Genomic DNA, 21631 nt, shown 5'->3' on the forward strand with positions numbered 1-21631 from the left:
TTGATTTTTGTTTTTCTTTCTTAGTTTAATATTGCCTGAGATAGAAAATGTACATATTAATAAGCCATGATAAAAAAGGATTTTACTTAGTATGTATATTTATTAAAGCTTAATAACTCTGAACTATTTACCCAGAGAGGAAGGAGCAAATGAAATTGTCTGCTAGTATTTAACTGCGAAGTTTCCCAGACTTAAATTGGGATTCCCATAGTGGACTTTAATCTGATTTAGTCAGTGTTTCCATCTATAAAATTTAAGATATAATTAGAAACAAAATCCCAGTAAAAAGATCAAATGTAAAATTAGAAAAAGGAATTATTAAAGTGAAAAAGTTTGTGTTTAGAACAAATCAGGTAGAAGAAAGAAAGGAGTAGAGAGAAACTTACATGGAAAAGAGAATAAAACATGCAGGCTTTTCGGTGACATTTTTAAATGCCAATGCTAAGTTATCTTGCATATGAATGAAATTTATGCTTTTGAGAACATTGAAGAGATGATGAAAATGTCCCACAGGGCAAGAGGGCAACTATGATTTCAGAGCAAGGTGTGAGGCAGTGAGAGTTTCTACATATTGGTTCAGTAGCTTGTATCAAATGTCCTATACTTCATAATCTAATTGATACACATGGGGGAAAAAACAGAGAGATACAAACCCAACAACCTGATTGAACTCTAATTAAGGAAGAGAAAAACAGTAAAAGGTTAAACCTGAAGAGAATATTGAAATATAACGTAACACAGTAATTTTCTTTTGTATTGGGAAAGTTACCAGAGGTCATAATAGCAATTGCAGGCACTACTTTGAAAAATAAGTGGTACTTATTATGCTTATATATTAATGAATTTTGAATAAAATGATTATAAATTATTTTCCTGCACTACCACAGATTATGCTTTAATATATATCATCACAGAGTTTAGAACACATTTGTTCAAGTAAGAGCCTCCCATTCTATCACCACCATTACAGTTTATTTAAGTACTAGAAATGGCACAGAAAGATATAAGGCATTTTAGCACCTAGTAGTATCATACAGGAAACTATTCGTAGATGGGTATTGTTCTTATTCTGAAATAGAGAAATATAAGGAAATCTCAAGAACAGAACATTACCTTTTCTGTGATCGTTTAAATTCTGTTTCTGGCTACATATTCTTATGTGCATTTTTTTAATTTTTACTCTTGAAACCCTATAAAACATTGACAGAAAGAGGATTGTAACAACCATATATAATAGCATTCATTATGCTCCCTTCAGTATTTTGCACTGTTCTCTTGATTTTTTAATATCACTGTATATTCATTTTCACTAGCTATCTAACTTTCAATTTGTGAGATTAATCTAGGTCACATTTTCATCAATATAGTTTCTAATGAAAGTTTTTAAAAACTCATCATGTCTTGCTACTCCCTAGATTGTAGCCATCCTGCCATTCACATTGGAAAGAAATGAAGTGCAGAGGAATCTAAACTGTGTAATTTGAAAGGTGTTGAGACCAGATTGCAAAGTTCCTGTCCCTCAGTGTATGTAGCTTGAATTTAGCTTGCCTGGAACAATCCAAGATAAAAGAGAGGATAAGTGAGGCGGGGCACAATTTACAAGAGACAAACAAGAATGGAATACAAATGTGGCACATTCTGACAGAAATATGCCTCATTAAAACATCATTCTGTGAGCTCGCTTGATTTGCCTGTATTGTGCCCAGAATCTCAGCTGCCATAGCCAGAGAGGGCCCACCAGTACAGACATTGACAGGTGACAATATCTGGAGAGTATTCTTTAATTCTGGATTCATTGTGATGACAAAGGGATTACTTAAAATAGCCTAAACCTATGTTATGAAAATAAAATGAAATAACATTTTGCCATGTATTAAATTAACCATAGGCCTACTCAACATACAAAAAAAATGACATCCTAATATTAAATCCCTATTTCTTCTAATTAAAATTAGTAAAATGTATCTAAGACAGTAGTCTTGTTTTGTTCTAATCTGAATTCTTCCAGTTTTCAATGTCTCTTTTCTGTAGTTTGTCATTTTTATCAATACATTTGCTCAAAGTACACTTCAGTTACAGTATTTTCCACTGAATTTCTAAGGTGAAATTTCTAAGGTGAATTACTTCCTATAATAAAGTGGAAAATATTAGTTCCCTGCTCTTTTTGTAAATCCAGAAATAACATCTCTTTGTGTGGTGCTGTAGCACCTCCAGTATCTTTCTGAGTCCTCATATTATACACTGCACTTTTCATATAAATGGAAAATATTGAGAAGGATTTTTGGTATTACATTATCAAGACAATTTCAGAGTGAAAAGAATTGTAGCTAAGATTGTACTCCCTAACGCTGGTCAGCTTACTTGGAGTTGTCTCAAGTCCCTGTGTTTATCTTAAGAAAGAAATTAATGTAGTTCAACAGCCCCTCTACTAGCTTTGAACACTGCAGAAATCTTATAGAACATTAGCGTTTATGTGGGTGGGGCCCTATTACTGAGACATCTTATAATTCATAAAACATCATGGTTCTCAAGATGCAAATTCTTCTATTTTTAAGTAAAATAATCAGGTTTTGCAGACATTCAGACTAAAAATCCCAGTAGAAATTACATTAACCTAGGCAACTTTTTAAGAACACAAAACTGGGAGAATTGTAAAATTCTGCCTTGAAGTGAAACCAGTTTCTACTTTCAATGGTAATTATTGAATCTTAGCTGGTTATTCTTAAACCAGATCATTAAAAGGAAAATCCTACTTGAGTGAAGGAATCCTGATATTAAAGTTGTAGTGAGGTTTATTTTCATTTCAGTGGTCCTCCTTAAGCATTCCTTCCCAGTCAGAACTTTCTGAATATCTCTTTGGTGCTTACACAAATGTATACAAGCTTGAGGGTTATATCTTTGAATTTCCTCTTATGGATGTCCTGGTAGTCCTTGTATACAAAGTGCATGATTGGCATATACAAAATCTGCACAGCTCTGAGACTGCTGCTCAGCAAATTTGCAAAAAGTGCTTCACTGTCTTGGTGAAAAAGTATCCCTCTTCCCCCAGTATATACTGAAATGTCAAAAGCATTGTTTATGTATGATTTTGGCCACCAACTATCTGATAGGGCTTCCTTATAGGTCCTAGTGACCCTTTGTAGCTCAAATAAGAGATTGAGGTCTTTTTAGCAGTATGTCAAAACTAACAGCTGAGGGAAAAAAGAGAAAAGAGAAAAGGTGGAAGAGGAAGGAGGAATAAATACTAAGCCTCCTTTGCTTTAGGCTTAGGTAATCAGCCTGTCCCTTTATGTGAATATCTCCTGATTCCCACTTTTAAAATTTTTAGTAAATGTTAATTTAACATGTGAAAAAGACAATGAAGATGAAACACGTTTTAAAACAATATGCAGAATAACTAAGGATTAAGCAAGGTATAAACTGGAAGATTAAAAAGGGCTTGGAGGTGCCCTAAGAAAGGGATTCTTCTTTAGTGAAAATATCGTAGGCCCAGTCACAGACCCTGTCCCATACTGCAGTAAGGACCTCTCACCTGCAGCGTTCAGACTGAAGGCGACAAAACAAGCCACCCTCTGAGAGAATGCATCCCAGTTCATCTCCCAGCTCAATTCATCTCTGACAATCCAAAATAAATATTCTCCGCTCCTCCTTCAGCTAATTTCCCTTAGAGAAGAATTTTGTGGGAGACTTGAACTATTTCTTTAATCACAAAATAAAATAATCTTTAGGGAATATTTAAAGATGCCTATTTTTATGGCATACCCCTAGCATCTACTGTTAACAAGTGGAACAAATATTTACTTGAACTAAATATCCACCAACAAAAAAACAGATAAATAAAGTACGCTGTATCCAAGTGACGAGCTATGTAGCAGGCACTGGCAGTATGCTGCCTGGGGCTTTTCATATCTCTTTACCATTTCTGTGTACACAGGCTTCCAATATGCATGTACTGCAACAGTCAGCACTCAGGGCCTTGTCGAGGCCACCCTAAAGCCTGCTGGAACTCACTTTCCCTGCAGGCAACAAGATCTGGGAAGCAACTTGGAATTTACATCCCACCAGGGTCAGTCTTTGATCAATGACTACTAAGGATATGAGGTACAAAGGCTTTAGCCCTCTTGCCTCTGAACAACTCTGAGGGGAAATGCAAAAAGAAATACATGAGAATGACAAAGACTAACTTCAGTGTAGGAAGTATCATGGGGTAGGACAAAGGGGAAGGAAAGAGATCTGGAGAAGGAACCCCTGGGGCTTCAGCTATATTAGAAATATATATTTTTAAAGCCAAGAGTTGGAGACATAGTTAGCATCAGATTGGTGTTTATGTGACTTTTGTGTGTTTGAAATAGTTTATAATATTTTATTTTTTGTGGAGCCTTTTTTTTTCTTTTTTTATATATACTTTTTTTATTATACTTTAAGTTTTAGGGTACATGTGCACAACGTGCAGGTTTGTTACATATGTATACATGTGCCATGTTGGTGTGCTGCACCCATTAACTCGTCATTTACATTAGGCATATCTCCTAATGCTATCGCTCCCCCCTCCCCCCACCCCACAACAGGCCCCGGTGTATGATGTTCCCCTTCCTCTATCCAAGTGTTCTCATTGTTCAATTCCTGCCTATGAGTAAGAACATGTGGTGTTTGGTTTTTTGTCCTTGCAGTAGTTTGCTGAGAATGATGGTTTCCAGCTTCATCCATGTCCCTACAAAGGACATGAACTCATCATTTTTTATGGCTGCATAGTATTCCATGGTGTATATGTGCCACATTTTCTTAATCCAGTCTATCATTGCTGGACATTTGGGTTGGTTCCAAGTCTTTGCTATTGTGAATAGTGTCACAATAAATATACGTGTGTATGTGTCTTTATAGCAGCATGATTTATAATCCTTTTGGTATATCCCCAGTAATGGGATGGCTGGGTCAAATGGTATTTCTAGTTCTAGATCCCCGAGGAATTGCCACACCGTCTTCCACAATGGTTGAACTAGTTTACAGTTCCAGCAACAGTGTAAAAGTGTTCCTATTTCTCCACATCCTCTCCAGCACCTGTTGTTTCCTGACTTTTTAATGATCACCATTCTAACTGGTGTGAGATGGTGTCTCATTGTGGTTTTGATTTGCATTTCTCTGATGACCAGTGATGATGAGCATTTTTTCATGTGTGTTTTGGCTGCATAAATGTCTTCTTTTGAGAAGTGTCTGTTCATATCCTTTGCCCACTTTTTGATGGGGTTGTTTGTTTTTTTCTTGTAAATTTGTTTGAGTTCTTTGTAGATTCTGGCTATTAGCCCTTTGTCAGATGAGTAGATGGCAAAAATTTTCTCCCATTCTGTAGGATGCCTGTTCACTCTGATGGTAGTTTCTTTTGCTGTGCAGAAGCTCTTTAGTTTAATTAGATCCCATTTGTCAGTTTTGGCTTTTGTTGCCATTGAAACTGGAAGCATTCCCTTTGAAAACTGGTACAAGACAGGGATGCCCTCCCTCACCACTCCTATTCAACATAGTGTTGGAAGTTCTGGCCAGGGCAATCAGGCAGGAGAAAGAAATAAAGGGTATTCAATTAGGAAAAGAGGAAGTCAGATTGTCCCTGTTTGCAGATGACATGATTGTATATCTAGAAAACCCCATTGTCTCAGCCCAAAATCTCCTTAAGCTGATAAGCAACTTGAGCAAATTCTCAGGATACAAAATCAATGTGCATAAATCACAATCATTCTTATACACCAATAACAGATAAACAAAGAGCCAAATCATGAGTGAACTCCCATTCACAATTGCTTCAAAGAGAATAAAATACCTAGGAATCCAACTTACAAGGGATGTGAAGGACCTCTTCAAGGAGAACTACAAACCACTGCTCAACGAAATAAAAGAGGATACAAACAAAAAGAACATTCCATGCTGATGGATAGGAAGAATCAATATCGTGAACATGGCCATACTGCCCAAGGTAATTTATAGATTCAATGCCAACCCCATCAAGCTACCAATGACTTTCTTCACATAATTGGAAAAAACTAATTTAAAGTTCATATGGAACCAAAAAAGAGCCTGCATTGCCAAGTCAATCCTAAGTCAAAAGAACAAAGCTGGAGGCATTATGCTACCTGACTTCAAACTCTACTACAAGGCTACAGTAACCAAAACAGCATGGTACTGGTACCAAAACAGAGATACAGACCAATGGAACAGAACAGAGCCCTCAGAAATAATACCACACATCTACAACTATCTGATCTTTGACAAACCTGACAAAAACAAGAAATGGGGAAAGGATTCCCTATTTAACAAATGGTGCTGGGAAAACTGGCTAGCCATACGTAGAAAGCTGAAACTGGATCCCTTCCTTGCACCTTATACAAAAAAGTAATTCAAGATGGATTAAAGACTTAAATGTTAGACCTAAAACCATAAAAACCCTAGAAGAAAACCTAGGCAATACCATTCAGGACATAGGCCTGGGCAAGGACTTCATGTCAAAATAGTTTATATTTTTTAAAATAAATATTTAGAAAGATTGATAAGGCAACAACAACATGCTTGTCACTAAAAGTTCAGACATGTTATCAGCATATTAAAAATGTTAAAAAAAAGATCCAGCCTGGTCACAATTCTTCTTTATAGAAGGGTCATGTATCCAAATTTAGAGCCAAAAGAAGAGAAGCCCTTAAAACACAATTCCATAACTACCAATTATTCCACTTCTCCCACGGACCTCACTTTTCCTGGTTTTTATCTAACTCATCAATACACACATCTTCCACATGTCTTTCTTCACCTGTCTTCCCAGCCTGGGTCACATGGTCCACCATTTAAAGAATACACATTGGCCAGGCGCGGTGGGTCACGCCTGTAATCCCGGCACTTTGGGAGGCCAAGGCGGGCAGATCACGAGATCAGGGGTTCGACACCAATCTGGCCAACATAGTGAAACCCCATCTCTAAGAAAAACACAAAAAATTAGCCAGGTGTGAGAGTGTGTGCCTGTAATCCCAGCTACTCAGGAGGCTGAGGCAGCAGAATCACTTGAACCAGGGAGGCGGAGGTTGCAGTGAGCTGAGATATCGCCGTTACACTCCAGCTGGGGAGACAGTGTGAGACTCCATCTCAAAAAAAAAAAAAAAAGAATACACATGAATGCCTTGAATCATCTGACGCCTTGCCTTGAATTTTGTCCAAATTCAGCCCTAGATAACACATTTTCCCCCCTTGTTTCCGATTCTGTTTCCAGCCTCCTGAATGTTGCTGTTTATGTAGCAAAACTCTATGAATTTGAATTATCTACAAACTTGTACAATAGGATTACTGTTTGTAAGCACTTTGAGGAGAGAGATTGTGCTTTTATTGTTATTTCTATCACTGTGTTAGTTTGCTAAGGCTGCCATAACAAAGCAGCACAAACTGAGTGGCTTAATCAACAGAATTTATTGTCTCAAAGTTTTAGGGCTAGAAGTCTGAGATCAAGGCCTCTACAGGCTTGGTTTCTTCTGAAAGTTGTGAAAGATAATCTGTTTTCTGTCTCTCTCCTAGTTTCTGGTGGTTTGTTGGCAATCCTTGATGTTCCTTGGCTAGTAGAAGCATCACCTCTATCTCTGCCTTTATGTGTGTGTGCTTTTATATGGCATTCTCCTGTGTGCATGTCTCTTTGTCCAAATTTTCCCATTTCATAAGGACACCAGGGATATTGGATTAGAAGCCCACCCTACTTCAGTATGACCTCATTTTAGCAAATTACTTCTACAATGACCCTATTTCTAAATCAAATCATATTTGGAGGCACTAAGAGTTAAGGACTTTAACATAAGAATTTGAGAGGACAAAATTCAATCCATAACAACCCCCTATGTCTGAGATCAGAACCAATGAGAGGTTGTCTTTCCTTGATCTAAACACAGCCCTCTGGAGAAGAGGCTTTAGTTTTTTAATTCAATAAATATTTCTTCTTCAGCTCAACTGAAGAACTGTCATTTCTCTTTGGACTTGAGCCCTGTATTTCCATTAGTGTACTGTTGTCATATGCCCTATTCTAAGTAGTTTGTGTTTTAAGTACTTTCTCATCTACCTCTTTTTATTAAACTGGAGAGCATTATTTTCTACATAATGTAGCCTTGGGACACCACCATATTAGTTTCCCTAATGGGTTCTTTTGACTTACAAATGCCAGGTTTATTTTGGCTTACATATGAAGTTTGATTGCATGCATTCATAATTGAGTTTCCCTTGTGGTTTATTAATCAGAACCATCATATCTCAAGATGATAATTAGCTGGCAAGTTATAGCAAACATATACAAATTTATTTATAGATATCTCCCACTTTCTCTCTGCATATTAACATTGTCTAATAAATCATATAACTGTAAAAGTGACTGAATACCCAGATTAAATCTGTTACTTTTGTTGAAAATGTGACATTATAGAATAAGATTCTTAAACATTTACAGTGTCTATGGTTTTAATTAATCTGATGCTCTATAATTTGATTCTTTAATATTTTGAAATGACTTCACAGATATTTTTACCATTCAGCATGGAAGGGTGTTTGGTTCCACATTAGGAATTTATGTTATACAATATCACCTCAGGAAAGATGTTGCTAAAAAGACATAGACACATTTCCATTTTTCCATTTACAATTTAATTTAAACTGTAGAAAAATAAATTATCATACAATACATTTGAACATCTTTATATCTAAGTGCCTTTATGTAAATAAGAAAAAGTATACTTTGTAGAGAACAACATGGGCAAACTCTTAAATAACCTGGAAACCATGGCCCATTGGAAAGTGCAGCAGACCAGTGCCTGACAGATCAAAATTCTATCCCCATTTCTCATATTTGCTCTTTTTCATGGAGCAAATTAGACTAGTGAGTTACCCAGCAGAAGCATCCTGCCTTTGGATGCTACTTTGGAAGCTATTTCTGTTCAAGTCTGTGTTGACTCGCTCGTAACTTCTTGGAACTAAAAGAGCAAGACAGTAAATACCCTTGCCTTACAGAGAGAGCGCTAAATAAACTATAAATTCCTTTGTTAATTTTTCTCACAAGAGAAAGATCACCAAGAGAATGGTCACCAAATTTCTCCCTCAATTTGTGTTATTTTATATTTTTTTGCATTTGCTTTTGGAATTGGTCTATGACAACTCACAAAACGTCTTTGTGGTAGGTAACTATAGCCATCAAAATGCTTGAGATGGCTGAGAGTTACCAACTGCCCTCATAATCTTGCTTCAAAGTATAATGAGAGCAAATCAGACCTATTCTGCCTCATATGTCAACATGTATTAAATGAATATTAACAAACAAGTACAAAACCTTCATATAATTTGTTCAATAAAATCTATGACTCCCAGATTTTTTTATAGGGGATCCTCAAACATCTTGCCTGAAAAAGCGTCAAAGAAGCCAAAACAACATCCCAGTGCCAAGATTCTGTAGACTTATTGTCCAAGATGTCAGAAATCCTCAGATTCACTGCTTGAACCGTTGGTTATTATTTGGGGATCAGGATCCCTCCTTCAGATGACCAGCTAACCATAGGCTTTTCTGGATTTCTCTAACCTGATTATGCAAGAGGAAGAAGTATCTCTGAAATATTTTAGCCAGTTGTCTTGAATACCACTAATTCCACCAATGAAGGCCCACTTCTAATACCCATTATGCTGATTAAGTATCCACTAATTGGCTGGGCCTTATGGCTAACACCTGTAATCCCAGCACTTTGGGAGGCCGAGGTGGGCAGATCACTTGAGGTCAGGAGTTTGAGACCAGCCTGGGCAACATGGCAAAAACCTGTCTCTACTAAAAATACAAAAATTAGCTGGGCATGGTGGAGAGTGCCTGTAGTCCCAGCTCTCGGGAGGCTGAGGCAGGAGAGTCGCTTGAACCTGGGAGGTAAAGGTTGCAGTGAGCCAGATGGTGCCACTGCACTCCAGCCTGTGTGACAGAGTGAGACTCTGTCTCAAAAAAAAAAAAAAAAAAAAAAAAAAAAAAAAATCCACTAAGTCAGCCAATGAAAATCCTTTTCTAACATTCTGACATTCATTATGCTAATTATTAAAGCTTCTGGTATTGATCCAGTATAAATAGCCAACTCAGTTGTATCAGTCCCTTCTAAGGTCTGGGCTTCCTTTTAGAATGTTAGTGAGTCATCCCTGAGTTGCGAGATCCCAAAGGTACACTAACTGTAGGCTCTGAAGTAACTTTCAGTAAATTACAGGCATCATAGCATTGTAGCAAGTCTCTAAAATACTAAGATCTTTCATATGTGTCCATTATTCTATTGTTGACCTCCTCTTTTACTTTCTGTTTTGTTTTTTTTTTCTAATATATATACCCATGTTATCCTTTATGTTACCTTGCATTCTCGTTTGGCTTCTCTTTTTTCATTGTGTAGATCAGTGTATCAGTAATTATCTTGCATCTCCCAGGAAATAAGCTTTTTTGTCATGATCTAGAATCATATTTTCTCCAAGAGTAGTCTCTAGACCACCTGTTTAGAAAAAATCCAGGGTACATTTTTAAAAATGCAGACCATGGCCAGGCACAGTGGCACTCACCTAGAGTCCTAGCTTAGGCTGAGAGAGGAGGATTGCTTGAGCTCAGGAGTTCAGGTCCAGCCTGGGCAACATAGTGATATCCCATCTTAAAAAAAAAAAAAAAAGAAGAAGTAGACTTCTGAGGTTGATCTAGAAATCTGCAATTTTTAACAGACACCCCCCACTCCATGATTTTTATACACATTTAAGTTTGAAACCAAATTATATTTTGCTTGTTCCAGTCTAGTAGTAAGAACCCTATTAAACATAAATTGTTCAGGTTAGTTGTATTTAGTATTTTTACTTGTTACATCTACTTTTCAGCACATTGTGGAACCTTCATAAATATTCAGCAACTGTAAAGGAAACTCTCAATTATTCAGGTGTGAATTAACAGCTGATGGATAATCCAGGCCCTCAGCCTCTTCTGCCTTTTCCTTAATGCATTTGCCTATTTCTCTGGAGGACAAATCACTCATCTTTTGCAACCTATTAGCAAGTTTGATGAAAGGCCCAGATCAGATTCTAGGCATATTAAAATGTGGTTGGAGGATTTTCTCTTCAATAAATACCCCACCTAAAAAAATTATTTCTTCTATAGATAATGAAGACTTAGCTATAATATCCACCAACCAAACAAGGGCAGAAAAGACTGACCTGACCCATTTGCTGGGAAATAAAAGACCTCAAAGTTAGCTTTTTAAGTTACAAGGCATGTTTCTAAATGTCCACATAAAACACCATAAATACAGCTAGATTATGGAGTGATTAAATACAGGATAAAAAATGGCTTCCCACAAGAGTTTGAAAATAGCATTGACTGGTATCCGTAGTCAAAATTGGGAAGAAATTTGACAAAAATAGACAAAAGCAACCCTTTCTTCTCAGTTGTAGAAAATATAATATTTGCCCGTCTCTAGTACTCAGGTCAAAAAAGACTTTGCCACTTTTTTTCTTTTATGTCTTCTGACATCTTTCTTTCCATAGAGTTTTCTCAGGTCTCCTAGGATATTATTGCCAAACCCAGGCTAACCTGTTGAATTTATGCAATAGAACTAATGTTTTAGGACTATTCTTACTCAGTGGAAGACTCTTGTATAGCTGCAGCTGTCTGGTTGTGCAACACATAGGGCCCAGATCACTCACTGTCAAGTAATTAGGGACAAAGCATGGGATTCATAATGCCTTCAAACAGAAACAAAAATCTGATTTGAAAGATGTCTGATATTTTAATGAATTTTCTGCAGGCAGCATAGCACTCCACTCTAGTTTGTTCACTATCCATATAGGTCCTTTGTAAATCACCGTCATCACACACACTTCTATTTATATTTCTTTCTTTGAAACAGATATTGTGTTAGCTTCTCTAATTTTTCCACTAGACTGCTGCTATTATCTGTACAGGACACCAAGGCCTTCCACAAAGGAGAATTTCACTCATCGGATCTAGGAGCTGTGGAATGGCTAAGGACCTCCACGAACAATCATATTTAAAATATCATAGAGGATCTTCTAGAGAATCTAGATTAGCTTCTGTCAGGATCCTTGGTGGCTCCTATGTGGTGTCAAGTCAGTCACTGACCACACGTATTTTAGTGTATCTCCTAGAGTCTCGGTTATCCCTTCTGTAAAAATGTAACTGTACCCTTCATCTCACTGATGAGGTTTGTGCTAAACTTGGCCGGTCTGTATCACAAATAGCTCCCTGTGAGCATAAATAACATTGGCTCAGACCATGAGATTTGAGATATAATGACAAGTTCACAAGCAGTCACTTTATCCAATCATCTCCTGCTCCTCTCTCTCTCTTAATTCTATATTCCCAGGAAGGCTGGAGCAAGTTCATGAAGGGTGGGGGACAGGGAAGGGGAATAATGACAGATGACAAGACGTAGGACTTCTATAATCTGTTCATAAGGAAGTAGTAATTGAGATAAATTCTTATCCAGTCACTGTAATACTTTTTAATCAAGCCTGGTTGGGTCTTTTGTTTGGTTGCAGAGTAGCATATGAGAGCTGTGTGTTGGAAAATATGGGTTTGTGAGAGCATATTCAATTAGATTATGCAAATAGCATAGTCCTTGATAGAAGTCAAACATAATATGCTTAATTCACATATTACCTTATTATTCTTTAATATCAAATCTCCTTGCTATAATCTTGCTATTGTTTGCATGGAAAATGGTACTTTTAAAAACCTGTGGCCTTGGATAGACTCAGGGCAAAATAATTTAATGCTCCTTGTTTGTTTGTTTAAGTGTTGTTTGTAAGCAAGAATTGTTAAGAAACAGCTGCAGAAGTTTTGGGACAAAAGATGAAATTCCAGTATAGATTTTCAATGTCAAAAAGAAAAAAAAAAGCAGAAATAGAAGCTATGATTTTGATCATTTTCTAGCCAAAAGGTTTAACCTACTTCTCTATGTACACTGCAAAGTTGTTTAGATTCTCATTTCAGTCTGACACCTTTGACTGCCCCACTGTGGCTGCCGAGAACCTGATTTAGGATACACTATACATTCCTGGATTGCGCAGTCCATCACTGTTCCTGAAAGGATGAGTACTTTGTGCTTTCCAGATGAAAAACAAAAAAGTTTCAAAGAATCTAGTTAAATCCCAAATAAATTTAGATCCAAAATTATATCATTCATTTCCTGCCCAAAGGGACTAAATTATATAATAAGTCTTTTTCAATTCCAATTTCAAGATCTGGTTCTTACCTATTAAATCACCCAAAGTGCTTTTACAGGGCTACCAAATAATATTCCAGCTTTTAACTCTAAAGAATGCTGCTTTCTGCTGCATATTTCTTGCCTTCATCATGATAATCCCATGCTTATCTTTCTTTTGTCTTCTCTTTGAAGTGTTTTGTTATGACCAGTCCTTTTTCCAAACTATTATTAGTTCTGAAAAATTAGTGGTTTTGTTGGCTTTTAAGACCAAGAGTTTATTTTTACTTGTTGGTGGGAGTGGGGGGTGGTGAAGGTGGGGAGAGGAGTTAGGGGAACTTCAGGTGAAAAGGAGAATTGCACTATTAATGAACAACAGTGAAGGTCATGTGGAGTCAAAATAGCAAAATGCATGATGAAGAGTGGAAGTGTCCTGTTGTATTTCTACCCTACTCTTCTTTAGTTCTAAAATAAAGGCAAAATGGAAGGACAGAGAAGAAGGAAAGAAAAAAAGAGAGAAGGGAGAGGGAGGAATGAAGGGAAGGAGAGGAAATAATCCCTTTGAACATATTGGAATGAGTTCTTCTTAAACGCTCTTGAGATGGATTTTATTGTTACCATTTTGCATAAATGACTACTCACAAGATCATGTGAGAGCAGAAATTTATTCCTTGCTCTAAAAAGTTGAACTATGTATTTTTTCTTAAAATTGACTTTGCTGAAATAGGTTTTTCATATTGAAATCTCAGTTTTGATTTATTAGCACTCCAAAGTGAAAATGTTCTCCAGTAGTGAGAAGGAAATGGAAACTTCACCAGGTAAAATTTCCCCATACCTCATAGTAGAAGTGTGTAGAACTGAGCCTCTTTAAAGCCAAATGCCTGTATATCTGGCCCTAAAATCCCTAGGAGGGCTGCCTATTAATAGAACTCTGTAGAGAATTCTCTTTTTAAATGAAGAAACCTCTTTAAAGAATAATTATCCTCACATTACTTTCCCACCAGCAGTTTCTGTTTCCTTTCCTTGAAGTCAGAGTTGAATGTATTTGGCTTGCAAAAATTCAATTCTGAGATATTATTTTGATAACGTCTGTGTGAAAGAGTTTAAAGAAGGAAGGCATAGAGATGGGAAAGGGTAAACTAAAAAAGGAAGAAGCAGAGGCAACTGGTGTTACTCGGGAATGGGATGGCATGAACATTCCAGCAAATTCCTGACATAATACAGATGAGAAGAGGAAATAAAATAATTGCTTTGAGTGGATATATCCCCATTCACTTTTCATTTGTGGAAGATGAGGTGAATTCACAATTATTAGAATATGAACCTCCTTTGTGATTATCCAGCCAAAGGTTCAGGTTTCCTGCCAGCAGCCTAACCTGATGTGGTGGAAGAGGCCCAAAAGGGTAAGATGAGGCTATTAACTCTACTCTGAGTCATATGTAAGAGCAGATTTACTGTAATTTGAGGACAGCGAACAAGCTTTCCCCAAAAGAAGCCCTCTCTATCAGGGTAAACTTTATTCCAAAGACCACTATAAACTGGGCCATTGACCAAGTCCATCTTTGTCAGAACCTATTTGTCCAGGACTCAATGCGCTTCTGAGGGCATTGAGGAATGGAGGACTCATGCCCCAGTATAGCAGGCCAAGGCCTTCTTAGCCAGCTTTAGCCTGTGATGTATCTGAATGTCTAACAAAAACTGCCTCTTGCTTTCGCAATAATTTTTTAGTTGTAGCTACTATTAGCAGGACTATATTTTATCCTTGATTTGGATGACATAACTTCTGTAGTAGTATGGCATTAAAGATTTTCTGGAAAACTCTTTTAAAAAGATTCCAGAGGAAAAAGATGCATTTTGTAAGATAGAGCTGTACTTAAAATGATGTATGTGCAGAACGACAGAAAGAAACCTAAAAGCTAAGCACAACACTATACCAAGAAAAATAAAAACTGAAATGATTAGGTAGTGATTCATTGCCCCAGAAATAATATCTATGTGAATGGTTATGGAAACATGTTAACAATGCTGTACTTGTGTTTCCTTTTTAAGTACCTGGAATACATTCTGACCAAGTGAACATATTATCTGAATTCTACTACCCACCTAAGGATTTTAATAAGGCTACATTGGTTACACCTGCTCATTTTCTAATGCTTCATAAAACACTCAGGCAAGAACAGTTGCAAAGTACTTATTTTCAGCAATTCAGTTTTATCCACGTGAACATATATTCTTTAAAGAATATTTGGGTACTTCTTGCCATACAAAATAATTTTCCTATTTAGGAAATAGGACAATTTACCTAATTGTTTTATTAATTAATTATACCTATAGTCTGCCTTTTCAGACTAAAGGAGATGAAAACAAATATTCTCTAGACAGTACTAGCTTCTGCTGGTTTCTGCCAGTGTTGTAGCCCTGTGACTTAGAGGAATCAGGACAATTCAATTACTGAGTTTGAATCAAGTCTTTGAAAGTACAGTACAGTGGCTTCTGCTTATTGCAACCACTTTAGGAAACGGTTATTTGAGCCTAATAGCTGACTGATTCAATTAAAGGAGACAGGAAAACCATTTGCTAAGGCAAGCATTGTGCTTGTTATTCACTGCTATCATCTAAAGCGCATCTCTGAAATCACAACTTTGTAAGCCAATGGCTCTACATCTTTCCCCTTCTCTGTCTATTTGGAGGCTGTGGCACAAATAGCCATTTTTGACTTACTTCATCGGGAATTCTCAGCCAGGATGTGGAGTGGGCATCTGAATTTGGGGTGAAGTTACATGAGCAATTTGAACAGTACAAGATTCTAATACATCAAGACACACAGCCTTAGGGGGATTTTTGCTCCCAAACAGATGAAAATAACATCTAAGGGGCCTATGCTTTGCGGGAAACAAACTAAGAAACAACAGCACATTATTATTCTGTGTACACCTAACAAAACGTGTAGAAAGCAATTAGAGACCTGCATCAATTCTGGTTTCATCGTTAAACAAAACATGCAGAACTTGAATGAAGATTTAAAGAGTATCAGAAACCAAACAGTGTCAGGTGCGGTAGCTCATGCCTGTAATTCCAGCACTTGGGAGGCTGAGGCAGGTGGATCACTTAAGGTCAGGAGCTCAAAACCAACCTGGCCACCATGGTGAAACCCCGTGTCTACTAAAAATACAAAAAATTAGCCAGGCGGGGTGGTGGGTGCCTGTAATCCCAGCTACTCAGGAGGCTGAGGCAGGAGAATCACTTGAGCCTGGGAGGTGGAGGTTGCAGTGAGCAGAGATCTTGACACTGCACTCCAGCCTGGGCAACAGAGTGAGACTCCACCTTAATATAAAAAAGTAAATAAATAAAAACCAAACAGAAAGTGACATCCCAAAGAATCTACATAATATAATTCTTGTTTTGAACTTTAAAAGACCAATACCTAACTTCATCAGCCTAACTTTATAATTGCTTATATGATACATGTGGCAATAATCTTTGATCTGAAACAGTCGTTACCCATAAACTCTGAATATATATTTATATATCTTATAAGAATAACATTAATTTTTCCATCAGATCTTTTAATTTAACTTCAGAAATAATTACATAGATAAATTGAATCTTACATCAAAAAATAGACTATCATAGATGTCAGCCTGTAGTCTTTTAAAAAGTAAAAGAATGATTGCCTTTTGCAAATTCTAAAATGTATGCAGGAGTTTAAAAAAAGTGGAGGAATTAAAAGTGACATGATGTTCGGTATATTCTTAAGGTACAGCTAACAGCATTCCTATTGCATTGGATGTGAGAGAAAATAGGCATGACAGAAAATTCCAAGGCTTCCTGGGCAATCTGAAATGGAAGAATGCAGGGAGGAGCAGTCGTAGAGGGGGAAAAAATTGCTAAATTTTGGATATGTTAAGTTTGATGTGCCAAGTGAAAATATTGAGCAGAAAGGCTGGAGTTCAAGGAAGGGATCCACACTAGAGATATGAATTTGGAAGTCACTGGCACATCAGTGATATTTAAAGCCATGAGACTGAATGATATTGCCAAGAGAATGAGGAGAGTAGTGCTGGGGCACACCAAGCTGAGAGGCTGAGAATATGAGGAGGAGGATACTGAGAAGGAATTACCAAAGAGGTAGAAAAAGAGCCAGAAATGAATGGTGTCATGGGATCCAAGTGAAGGAAGTATTTCAAAGAGGAATGAGTTATTGAGGAAGATGGGGACTGAGAACTGACCATTTGATTTAGCAACAAGAACGTCATTGATGTATTTGAAGGCATAGATTTGGTGAAGTAATAGAGACAAAGGTTTAATTGGAATGGAAAAATGAGTGTATTCACCCTGAAACTAGGAAGTATAAATAACTCTTTCAAAGAATTTTGTTATAAAAGTAAGCAGAGAGATGGAGCACTGGTCACAGTGAAAAATGAGATCAGCAAAACTTTTTTAAAGGCTTGTGTCCAGGGGAAGGAAAAATAGATGACACAGAAAAAGAAAGACAATCTTACTGAAATTATATCCTTGAGTAGAGAAGAGAGACTGGAGCATAGTGCACAGTTGGAATGATTGGATTTAGATGGGAGTATGAACTGTTTATCTCTAGTACTGGAAGGAAATAGAGTCCCTGGGTCGAGATGTAGTCATACCATTTTGTTGAAGGTCTCTTCAGATAGCTTTTATTTTCTCCATCATGTTGGAGATGTAATCAGCTAAAATCGAGGATGAAGAAGGAGAGGTTTGCAGTTTAGAAGAAAGGATAAGATACGGAATCATCTAGAAGACTGGGAAAATAAGTGATCTAGGATTTTGCTGTACAATGTGGCAGCCATGAGCCACATATATCTATTGAACACTTGGAAATGTGACTTGAGCAACTGAGGAACTGATTTTTTAATTTAAGTTTAATTAATTTTGATTTTAAAATTGATACTCATTCTTCATTTTTAAAAAACTTTAGGAATGTTTGGAAAAGCTTCAGTGTGTAACTCTGGTTTTTTAATTGCAAATTTTATAAAATCTAAATACAGATCAAGCATTTTAAATGAAAATTTAGTATCCAAATTAAGAAGTGCTACATGTGTAAAATACACACCAGATTAACATTTACATTATATGTTGAAATGATAATATTTAAATATATCATATTAAGTTAACATTGATTTTAATTTTACCTTTTTCTGTTTTTAATGTGCTTGCTAGAAAATTGACAGGATCAATGGATTCCTGGATTTGGTGGAGCTAAAGGATTATTGGAGACATCCTACTAGAATAAGAGATAAAGACAAAATGTGAGGCCAGGCATGGTGGCTCAAGCCTGCAATCCTAGCATTTTGGGAGGCCAAGGTGGGCGGATCACCTGAGTTCAGGAGTTCAAGACCAGACTAGCCAACATGGCGAAACCTTGTCTCTACTAAAAATACAAAAATTAGCCAGGCATGGTGGCAGGCGCCTGTAATCCCAGCTATTTGGGTGGTTGAGGCAGGAGGATTGCATGAATCTGGGAGGTGGAGGTTGCAGTGAGCCAAGACTGCGCCATTGCACTCCAGCCTGGACAACAAGAACGAAACTCCATCTTAAAAAAAAAAAAAAAAAAAAAAAAGATGTGGTTGTTGAAGAGTAGGCTTCTTGAAATTGAGGTTATGGAGGCAAAGCAGTTTGGTAATGACAAGGTCCAGAGTATAACCATGGAAGTGAATGACTAATATAAGGCAGAAAAGAAGAGGAGTTAAAAGAACTGTAATTAAACAGGAATGTTATTACACAGATTATAATGTCAATATGAATTAAGGGGACATTAATTCGTATTAATGTTCACATTCAGGACAAGATGAAGGCAAAACCCAAAATACCTGAGGTTATTTACTCTTAGGGACTGTATTCCTGGAGGGAGGAACTGTATTCAGTTCCTGAAGGGAGGGACTGTAGTCAGAAACAAAGTCTTCAAGAAATGAGGGGTGGTGACTTGGAGTATTGATAGGTGACTATTACAGAGAGGGTGGTGACTGGAAATCTGGTGCCTTGAGGTTCAAAGTAGTGTGTTTTAAGATAGGATGTGGGAAATACCTCTCCCAGCCTAGTGTATATGGCATATAGGACTAAAGAAAACAGCCATGACATGAAAATTGTGCAGAGGAAGATGTGTTCTCAAAGAAAACTTCATTTTTGGTTAACAGTAAGTTGAACAAAACTTTAGGGAAAAGATTGATGATGGGCCATGAGGTTCAGAGGGTGCAGTTGGAAGGCTCTCAGTTTTGAAGACTACAAAGTAGAAGTTGAGGATGGACCCAGAAGACGAGCGCTTCCTGTGGTGAATGACAGAGCAGGGATAAAGGGCCAATAAGATCTGTTCCTGCTATTCTTAATGCATATTGTGGAGGCAAGGCTGTGAATATTAAGGGTATCTGAAGCCCTTCTTCACCCCTGCTGTGAAAGCAGAGAATCCTAGAAAGGTGATTTAATTATAACTTTATTAGCCTCTTGACCTGAAAGTTTAGAATCTAAATCTAGAGAGGTAAAGTCTTCTGTATGATTGTGTTTTTGTAATTTCTGTCAGAACTCTAATAGTTTTGCTTTATATATTTTGATATTGGCTATTTGATATACAAAAATTATGATTATTACTTTTATATGAATAATACAAGCCCTGATTTCACTTTTGTTTTGATTGTCCTGAAATAGTTTTATATGTGTTTGTATATTTATGCTGCATGAGTCATGTTGTTCTAGATATATGTCTTACAAATAACATAATTAAGTCAGTGTGTACCTTTGTGTGTGCATGAGACCCAATCTGAAACTCTATCTTTTAATAAAGATTTCAACCCATCTCTATTTATTGTGATAACTATATGCTTAGTGTTATTTCTGCCATCTTAGTTTTCCAAATTCTTGTTTTTATGTTCCTGGTTTTGTTATATTAGTCAAAATAATTCTGCTTGTTTATTATTTATTAGTGATTCTTAAGTTATACATTGCAATTTTTCTACTAATGATTTCCTTCCAATTGCTCTTTAGATGAATTTTTGATCTCTACCCACTCTGAGAATGGAATTTGCCCAGGTTTTACTTCTCTTTCCCCATAGTTGCTAAGAGTTTAGCAAATAATCTGGAATCTATTCAATCTCTTTCCTCATTTCAGTGGGAACTTGGAACCCAGAGGGCGTCCCCACACACAGTCAGGTAGTTTCCCTCAGCTGGAAGATAATCATGGAAAATTATGAGTAGCATTTGAAGTGTGTGGGTTCCTCCAAAGTGCCTAAACTGATAAATCTCTATTTATAATATGTGAAGTACATTCTGTGGTACTGCTAGGCATGAAAACAAGGTTGCAGGAAGCTGTTTAAAAGCATCTTTAAATATCTCATGCCTGATTAATGTACTATAATATGGCACATGCTTAATGAAAGAATCATTAACGGGAATATAATTAGATGTTTAATTCAGTCCCTAGTCAATCGTTTGTTTTTAAATACACCTAAGAGTAAACAACCTCAGATATTTTGGGTTTTGCCTTCATCTTGTCCTGAATGTGAATAAATGGAAACCTGTGGCATGTACATAGCAGGATCAGACACTTCAATATACCAAAATACATTTCCCGGAAAAATTCTTCCCTGGGACACCCTAGAAAGGGTTTTGAATTTAAATTGTTCAGTATTACACTCTTGGTGATTCACAAAGACACATTAACTTATTAAAGGTTCTCAGAAGATCCAGCATGAAGAAACCTGTTTAACCCTTTGTGACCCAAAGTGATTTGACCAGGCAACCTTTTGCTTGCCTTACATGGGCAATTTATTTTCAGTGGAACATATTTTGGGAAATGCTGCTACACGGTGTTCTGTTGTAAAATAGTTAAAGGAATCACTTTCCCATCTTTAGAGTTACATTTTATTACAGGGCTCCCAAAGTACTTCTTATGTCTTTGAGGTCTTATAGAGTTTTAATGAAAATCTCTGTCAATTTTGACTTTGATTTCCCTTTCCTTCTATCCTGCTCAGATCTGCAAACAACTCAAATACAAACGTAGTGGTAGGAATGGACTGAGAAATTGGAGCCACAGCATGTGTGCTCAGAATCACTCTTCTTCTCTGATAGCTAAGGATTTGGTAACATGCCAGGCTCCTAATGTTCATTCTCTCATGGCTTACTATGCTCTCTCTGAGAGATTCCCATGTAGAAACACACTTTCATCAGGCCCAGCCCACAAGCATGCCACCAGCCATTGCTGATGTTATTTAGGACCTCACTACAAGTGTGTACATGACTGTCTCTCTGATTAGACTCTCAGTTCCTTGAGGGAGACATCTAATGTCACTTTTATTTGTATTTCTCTACTATTTGCAATATAGATACTCAAGTGTGACTAAATGAATGAATCACTCAACAAATGTGAAAAGTGAAAAACAGTTGAGTTTGCC

At 36.9% G+C, this 21631-nt stretch overlaps 1 protein-coding gene across 14 annotated transcripts in view, besides 1 other annotated feature; it reads left to right on the forward strand.

Moving 5' to 3' along the window:
- The window catches only part of EPHA6 (EPH receptor A6), a 946939-nt gene that overhangs the window by 844342 nt on the left and 80966 nt on the right, over nt 1-21631 (forward strand). The window lies entirely within an intron of this gene.
- Nucleotides 3815-4413: an enhancer, noted in NCBI's record as "OCT4-NANOG hESC enhancer chr3:97381594-97382192 (GRCh37/hg19 assembly coordinates)". NCBI's record gives its function as "activates a minimal SCP1, AML or CMV promoter by ChIP-STARR-seq in naive H9 embryonic stem cells {active_cell/tissue: H9 hESC(naive)}" and the evidence as "EXISTENCE:reporter gene assay evidence [ECO:0000049][PMID:30033119]".

Source organism: Homo sapiens, chromosome 3 (genome assembly GCF_000001405.40).
Source record: "Homo sapiens chromosome 3, GRCh38.p14 Primary Assembly".
NCBI lineage: Eukaryota > Metazoa > Chordata > Mammalia > Primates > Hominidae > Homo > Homo sapiens.